The sequence below is a fragment of the Homo sapiens genome, chromosome 4, assembly GCF_000001405.40.
Source record: "Homo sapiens chromosome 4, GRCh38.p14 Primary Assembly".
Taxonomy (NCBI): domain Eukaryota; kingdom Metazoa; phylum Chordata; class Mammalia; order Primates; family Hominidae; genus Homo; species Homo sapiens.
In genome coordinates, this window is record NC_000004.12 from 125555182 (window position 1) to 125563055 (window position 7874).

At 40.9% G+C, this 7874-nt stretch overlaps 1 annotated feature.

Annotated features, from left to right (window-relative positions):
- Positions 6097–6848: an enhancer, noted in NCBI's record as "OCT4-NANOG-H3K27ac hESC enhancer chr4:126482433-126483184 (GRCh37/hg19 assembly coordinates)". NCBI's record gives its function as "activates a minimal SCP1, AML or CMV promoter by ChIP-STARR-seq in primed H9 embryonic stem cells {active_cell/tissue: H9 hESC(primed)}" and the evidence as "EXISTENCE:reporter gene assay evidence [ECO:0000049][PMID:30033119]".

Below are 7874 nucleotides of genomic sequence, written 5' to 3' on the forward strand. Positions count from 1 at the left end.
GTGTGATCTTGGCTCACTGCAACCTCTGCCCTCTGGGTTCAAGTGATTCTCCTGCCTCAGTCTCCCAAGTAGCTGGGATTTTAGGAGCCACCACCATGCCTGGCTAATTTTCATAATTTTAGTAAAGATTGTGGTTTCACCATCTTGGCCAGTCTGGCCTTGAACTCCTGACCTCAGGTGATCTACCTGCCTTGGGCTCCCAAAGTGCTAGGATTACAGGCATAAGCCACCGTGCCTGGCCTAAGGAATCCACTTCTGTGATAACTGCATTAATCCTTTCATGACAGCAGAGACCTCATGGCCAGGCCATGAGGCCATGATTGGCATGAATGAATGCCCATCTCTTAATGCTGTCACAATGGAAATAAAACTTCAACATAAGTTTTGGAGGTGACATTCAAACCACAGCATTCTGTCCCTAGATCCTAAAAATGAATGTCCTTTTCATACAAATTCAGTTTTCCCATTCCAATAGCCCCCCAAAGTATTAACTAGTTCTAGCATCAACTCAAAAGACCAGTCAAGTCCAAAGTTTCGTCTAAAGCAGATATGGGTGAGACTCAAGGCACAATTCATCCTGAAGCAAATTCCTCTCTTGCTGTGAGTCTGTGAAATTAAAAGAAGTTATCTACCTGCAAAATACAATGATGGGACAGGCATAGGACAGATATTCCTATTCCAAAAGGGAGTAATAGACAAAAAAAAGGAGGAAACAGGCCACAAGTAGGTCTAAAACACAAGAGGGTAAACAATATCAAAACTTAAGTCTCCAGAATAATTTTTCTTGACTCCATGTCCTGCGTCCTGGACACACTGGGGCAGGGGTTGGGATCCCATGACCTTGGATAGCCCCATGCCTATGGCTTTGCTATAGTCAGCCCATGCAGCAGTTCTAGAGTTGGAGTCATATTCCTGTAGCTTTTCCACGCTGATGTTGCACATGGGTAGCTCTAAAGTTTTAGGGACTCTGTTGCAGCTGTAATCCCAGAGTTCTTGGACATTGTCATAATCAGGGCTGTCCGTTGTGGCCCCAACCCTATAGTTCCTTTGGGTATTGCCCTAGTTGGGGCTTTCTGTTGTGGCTCTGCCCTTGCAAAAAGTCTCTGCCTGGGCCACTAAGGTTTTGGAGCATCCTTTGAAATCTAGGTGGAGGAAGTCATGCCACATAGCTCTTGCCTTCTGTGCACCTGCATAATTAGCACTATGTGCATGTCACCAAAGCTTATCCTTTGCACCCTCTGGAGCAATGCACTGATCTGCAACTGTGTTGGCTTGAGCCTTGTCTGGGACATTGAGGTACACTGCACCGGAATGCAGAGAGCAGAGTTGTGAGGTGGCTCTGGGAATCCCTGAAAACGATTCTGGCTTCCCCTGAAACTATTCTGCTTCTTACAACTCTGGGTTTGTGATGAGAGGGGAACTTTAAAAATCTCTAAAATGTGTTCAGGGTAATTATCTCATAGTTTTGATGACTAGCATCTGGCTTTATTCTATCTATACTAATTCCCTTATGAAAGGGTTGCTTGGTCACACCCTTGGTATTTTTTCTCAAACAGGGATTTTTATTGTTTAGATGGTGTATTAGTCCATTCTGATGCTGCCAATAAAGATATACCTGAGGCTGGGTAATTTATAAAGGAAAGAGGTTTAATTGACACATAGTTCAGCATGTCTGGGGAGGCCTCAGGACACTTACAATCATGGCAGAAGGGGAAGCAAACATGTCCTTCTTCACATGGTGGCAGGAAGGAGAAGTGCCAAGCAAAAGGGGGAAGTGCTCCTTATAAAATCATCAGATCTCATGAGAACTCACTCACTATCACACAAATAGCACGAAGGTAAACACCCCCGTGATTCAATTACCTCCCACCGGGTACCTCTCATGACACATGGGGATTATGGGAACTATAATTCGAGATGAGATTTAGATGGGGACACAGCCAAACCATATCAGATGGCCAGGCTGGGGAAGTTCTAAATTTTTACATTTTGCTTCCCCATTAATTGCAAATTCTGTTTTTAAATTTCTTCTTGCATGTTACTATATACAGTTAAAATAAGTCATACAGCATGCTTACTGCTTTGCTACTTAGATATGTCTTCTGCCAGAAACTCTAGTTTATCATTCTTAAATTCTGTCTTCTATAAAGCCCTCAGGCATGAACACAATTCAGTTAAATTCTTTGCCAGTTTATAAAAAAGGATGCCTTTTACTCTATTTTCCAATACCTTGTTACTCATTTCCTTCTGAGATTTCATCAGAATTGTTTTTATCATCCATATATATATGTATATATGTGGATGAATAAATAGAATAAATATATATTTATATACTATATTATATAAAATTATATATCACATTATCAAATTATATATATATACAGATTTTTAGAGACAGAGTCTCACTGTGTCACTCAGGCTGGAGTGCAGTGGTGCAATCATAGCTCACTCTAACCTCAAACTCCTGGGCTCAAGTGATCCTCCTGCCTCAGCCTCCTGAATAGTAGGACTACAGGTGTGTGCCACAATACCCAGCTATTTTTTTTTAATTTGTAGAGAGGGAGACTCACTATGTTGCCCAGATTGGACTTGAACTCCTGGCCTCAAAGACACCTCCTGCCTCAGCCTCCTAAAGTGCTGTGATTACAGGGGTGAACCACTGTGCCCAGCCTAACATTTATATTTCTACCAGTATTTTGATGATAGCAACTTAAATGATCCCTAAGAAGTTTCACACTTTTCCTACAGTTCTCTTCCGAGCCTTCATCAGAATCATCCTTAATGCTCCATTAATGGCAATCTAGGCTTTTTCTAGCCTGCTCCTCCAAATTCTTTTAGCTTCCACTCATTACCCAGTTTCATAGCCACTTGCACATTTTCAGGTATTTATTACAGTACTTTCCCACTTCCTTTGTAACAATTTTCTGTATTTGTCCATTTTGTGCAGCTATAAAAGAATACCATTGAGCAGGTCATTTATAGTGAACATAAATGTATTGCCTCATGGTTCTGAAGCTGGGAAGTCCAAGCTCAAAGGGCTGGCATCAGGTGAGGGCCTGCTTGTTGTATCATCCCATGACGATGATAGAAGAGCAAGGAGAGGGTGACAGAGAGATAAAAAGGGGGCAAACTCTTCTTTTTATATTTAACCCACTCCTGCAATGAGGAACACATACCTGCAATAACAGCATTAATTCATTCATGACGGCAGAGCCCTCATGACCTAATCACCTCTTAAAGGTTTCACCTCTTAATACTATTAAAATGGCAATTAAATTTTAACATGAATTTTAGAGGAGACATTTAAATCATAGCATACGTATAAAATGGGAGTTATATGTCCTCATATAAAAATGACCTTGCCTTTAAAATCTTAGAGACACAATTTACTTATTTGATTGACTTGGATGTTGATTATTTATAGTTTCTATGTGTAATTAACAATTTCTGTTCCAGAATTATTGCCAACTTCCAAAGAGCACAACTGTGTGTTTTAAACCTCTAAAATTATATTTGTTTTGTGTAGAAATATTTTTTACTAGAAAAAACATCTTGAAAAGTTTCAGCCTCTTTCACACCTTCTGAATGATAAAATAGAGATTCAGTAGATGTGTTGGAATATAGCTTTATATAATCAGCAGTCATTTTGTTTCTGGCTTATTATAAAAGTAAGGCTATTGCAGATGGACTAACACTATTTCTTAACCAAGCCAGATTGGGGAAAATGAAATTTGGCTGATGATCAGAACCAGTGAAAGAAGAATTTTTATTAATTAGGCCAGATGGAAACCAATAATAGCAATATTGTGGAAAAGAGTTAAATTGAATAAATAGTTGCTAATTAACATGACTCTAATGTTTCTGAGATTAGAATACTTTTACTGTATAAAAAGTTTACTTCTTGAAATCAAGTTCTTTCTGTGATTTTGCTGCTAGATTAATTTTCTTTGGTGTAAGGATATCAAACCATTTAATTTTCTCAAATTTTGTGGCAGCCATAATGGAATGATTCCTTTAGTTTTAAAATACAATAAAAAATATGTATTAAGTATGTACTGGGTGCCAGGTAATTACTGCAAACAACGCTAACTTAAATGTTCTCCAGGAGCTTAGAACTGTAGGTTACTGCAAATTTTAAGAGACAGAGAATTTAGACTCTTTTTTAAAAAGTAATTGCTACTATTCATAATTATTTTTAATATAGAAACAATTGATCTATGTAGAATATGTATATTATATATTAATTAACTCAATATATGGCTTGGTGTACACAGCAAAAGCACCTGTACAAGTCTAATTTGTTGTTCTGAAAGCTTTAGTTTCTTTCTTTCTTTTCCCCTCCCTCCCTTCCTTCCTTCTTTCTTTTTTCTTCCCCCCCACTCCCTTCCTTCCATCCTTCCTTCCTTCCTTCCTTTTCCCTCCCTCCCTCCCTCCCTTCCTTCCTTCCTTCTCTCCTCCCTCTTTAAACTACCTTTGCAAAAAATTGAAACAGAAAATTAAGACAGTGAAAGAAATCTGACCAAACCAACTCCATCTTGGTTTTAATCTACAAACTGTCCTTGTTCATTTCTGGGCGTAGGCCAAATTAGTTTTGGGAGGAACATAGTTTATAGTTCAACAAACAAAATTGAAAACAGCCCTTTCCAAAACAAATCCCCTTCTTGGCTGGGGACTAGTCTGCCTTTTTAAGACTAACAAATTAGCTGCAAGATTAGAAATTATGGTTTGAAGTCAGGCAGTTGGAGGCTGCAAGATTCTGAACCTCACCAGTTGCTCCTGGGGATAACACCACTGTTGTAAAACCTGAGACCAGTGTTCGAGATATCTTGCAGTTCCCGTGTTTGGGAGCATCAGCTGACACCACCTGAATGGTAATCTGGCTCAACCAATTCTGTGATCCCACCAGGAACAGAATACAGCAAGAAAAACCCACTCTGAACCCCTATAATTTCATCTCCAACCTGACTAATCAGCACTCTCCACTTCCTGACCCCCTACCCACCAGATTATCCTGAAAAAACCCAATTCCCAAATCAGGGAGACTGATTGGAGTAATAATAAAACTCTGACCTCCTTACAGCTGGCTGTGTGTGAATTAAACTCTTTTTCTATTGCAATTCCCTTCTTTTTTTTTTTTTTTTTTGAGATGGAGTCTCCCTCTGTTGCCCATGCTGGAGTGCAGTGACCCGATCTCGGCTCACTGCAAACTCTGCCTCCTGGGTTCACGCCATTCTCCCCCTCAGCCTCTCTAGTAGCTGGGACTACAGGCCCCCGCCACCATGCCCAGCTAGTTTTGTTTTTGTATTTTTAGTAGAGACGGGGTTTCACCGTGTTAGCCAGGATGGTCTCGATCTCCTGACCTCGTGATCCTCCCACCTCGTCCTCCCAAAGCGCTGGGATTGCAGGTGTGAGTCACCGTGCCCGGACTGCAATTCGCTTCTTAATAAATCAGCTCTGTCTAGACAGCTGGGAGGGAGAGTATGTTGGGCAATTAAACTTCCTTCCTCCCTCCTTTCTTTCCTTTCTTCCTCCCTCACTCCTTTCCTTTCTCCCTTCCTATCTTCCTTCTTTCCCTTTTTCCTTTTTCTTTCCTTCTTTCTTTTCTCTTTCTATTCATTTATTTTTCTAAAGAAAATCGAGTGTCTGCAGAACGAAAAAAAGATTTCTTGAAATACTGGCAATAAGGGTCCTATCTGCATGAGAACTACAGGTCACACAAGAGGAATTCTAATGATAATTTTAGAATTCGTGGTTAAGTCCTCTGTTACCAGGAAGAAGGTGTTTCAGCCAAAAGGGAAGTTGATTACTGTTACTCTAGTTCTGAGAAGATTTATCTGGAGGTGAAAGAAGATGAGAGATACAATGCATTCTGAGGCAGGTGTGGGAGTAGGAATGGATATCTAGTAATATACAAGCTGGTGCTACCCTAATAGAGGCAGCTGTAGAATGAAATAATGTTCGAGAGCCAAACATGTATATTCACTCAAAGACCAGCCCATCTGAGGTGAGCTGGAAACCTGGTTTAAAAAAGAAATTGTTGTCCTCATTAGTGAAACCAACCATTCCTTGCTGTAGTTTGTCTCTTCAGTTTGTTGACTGTATCCTTTGCCGTGCAGAAGCTTTTCAACTTGATGTAATCCAATTTGTATATTTTTGCTTTGGTTCCCTGTGCTTATGGGGTATTACTCCAAGAAATTTTTGCCTAAACCAATGCCCTGAAGTGTTTCCACAGTGTTTTATTTTAGTAGTTTCATAGTTTAAGTTCTCAGATTTAAGTCTTTGTTCTTGATTTTTGTTTATATAGAAAGATAGAGGTCTAGTTTCATCATTCTGCATATGGATATTGAGCTTTCCCAGCACCATTTATTAAAGACATTTTTCCCCAGGGTATGGTCTTGGTACCTTTGTTGAAAATGAGTTCGTTGCAGGTGTGTGGTTTCACGTGCATCCGTGTGAAGAGACCACCAAACAGGCTTTGTGTGAGCAACATGGCTGTTTATTTCACCTGGGTGCAGGCGGGCTGAGTCTGAAAAGAGAGTCAGTGAAGGGAGATAGGGGTGGGGCCATTTTATAGGATTTGGGTAGGTAAAGGAAAATTACAGTCAAAGGGGGGTTGTTCTCTGGCGGGCAGGAGTGGGGGTCGCAAGGTGCTCAGTGGGGGTGCTTTTTGAGCCAGGATGAGCCAGGAAAAGGTCTTTCACAAGGTAATGTCATCAGTTAAGGCAAGGACCGGCCATTTACACTTCTTTTGTGGTGGAATGTCATCAGTTAAGGTGGGGCAGGGCATATTCACTTCTTTTGTGATTCTTCAGTTACTTCAGGCCATCTGGGCGTATACGTGCCAGTCACAGGGGATGCGATGGCTTGGCTTGGGCTCAGAGGCCTGACATTCCTGCCTTCTTATATTAATAAGAAAAATAAAACAAAATAGTGTTGAAGTGTTGGGGCGGCGAAAATTTTTTGGGGGTGGTATGGAGAGAGAATGGGCGATGTTTCGCAGGGGTGCTTCAAGCGGGATTAGGGGTGGCGTGGGAACCTAGAGTGGGAGAGATTAAGCTGAAGGGAGGTATTGTGGTAAGGGGTGATATGGTGAGGATGTTAGAAGAAACATTTGTCGTATAGAATGATTGGTGATGGCCTGGATATGGTTTTGGATGAATTGAGAAACTAAGTGGAATAACAGAAGGAGAAAAACAGGTATAAAAGGTCTAAGAATTGGGACGACTCAGGATATCTGATTAGAGAGTGCCTAAGGAGATTCAGCATAGTCCTGCCAGCAAAGATTATTTACTTCAAGAGTTAAGAGTGGCAGTTTGGGGATAGCACCAGGAGATATCAGCTGTGATGGCTTGGAGAAACAGTGTAAACCGGCAGTGTAAACAAGAGCAGGTCATATATGAGTAGTTGAGAACGGTGAATAGGAGTATGACTAGACAGAAGATAGTAGGGATGACAAGTTTTTTGGGGCACAGTCTAAGTTGGTCTGGTGTCTGGAATGAGACTGGGGCCTAATAAAAAGGGGCGTCTATACAGGAGCTTAAATGGGCTGTACCCTGTAGCATTCTGAGGACAGGCCTGAATTATGAGAAGGGAAAGTGGTAAAAGTATTGTGCAGTCCTTTTTAAGTTGGTGGCTGAGCTTGGTGAGGTGTGTTTTTAAAAGACCTTTAGTCCATTCTACTTTTCTTGAAGACGGAGGACCATAAGGGATATAAAGGTTTCACTGAATACTAAGAGCCTGAAAAACTGCTTGGCTGATTTGACTAATAAAGGCTCGTCTGTTATTAGACTGTATTGAGGTGGGAAGGCTAAACCGAGGAATTATGTCTGACAGAAGGGAAGAAATGACTGCAGTGGCCTTCTCAGACCCTGTAG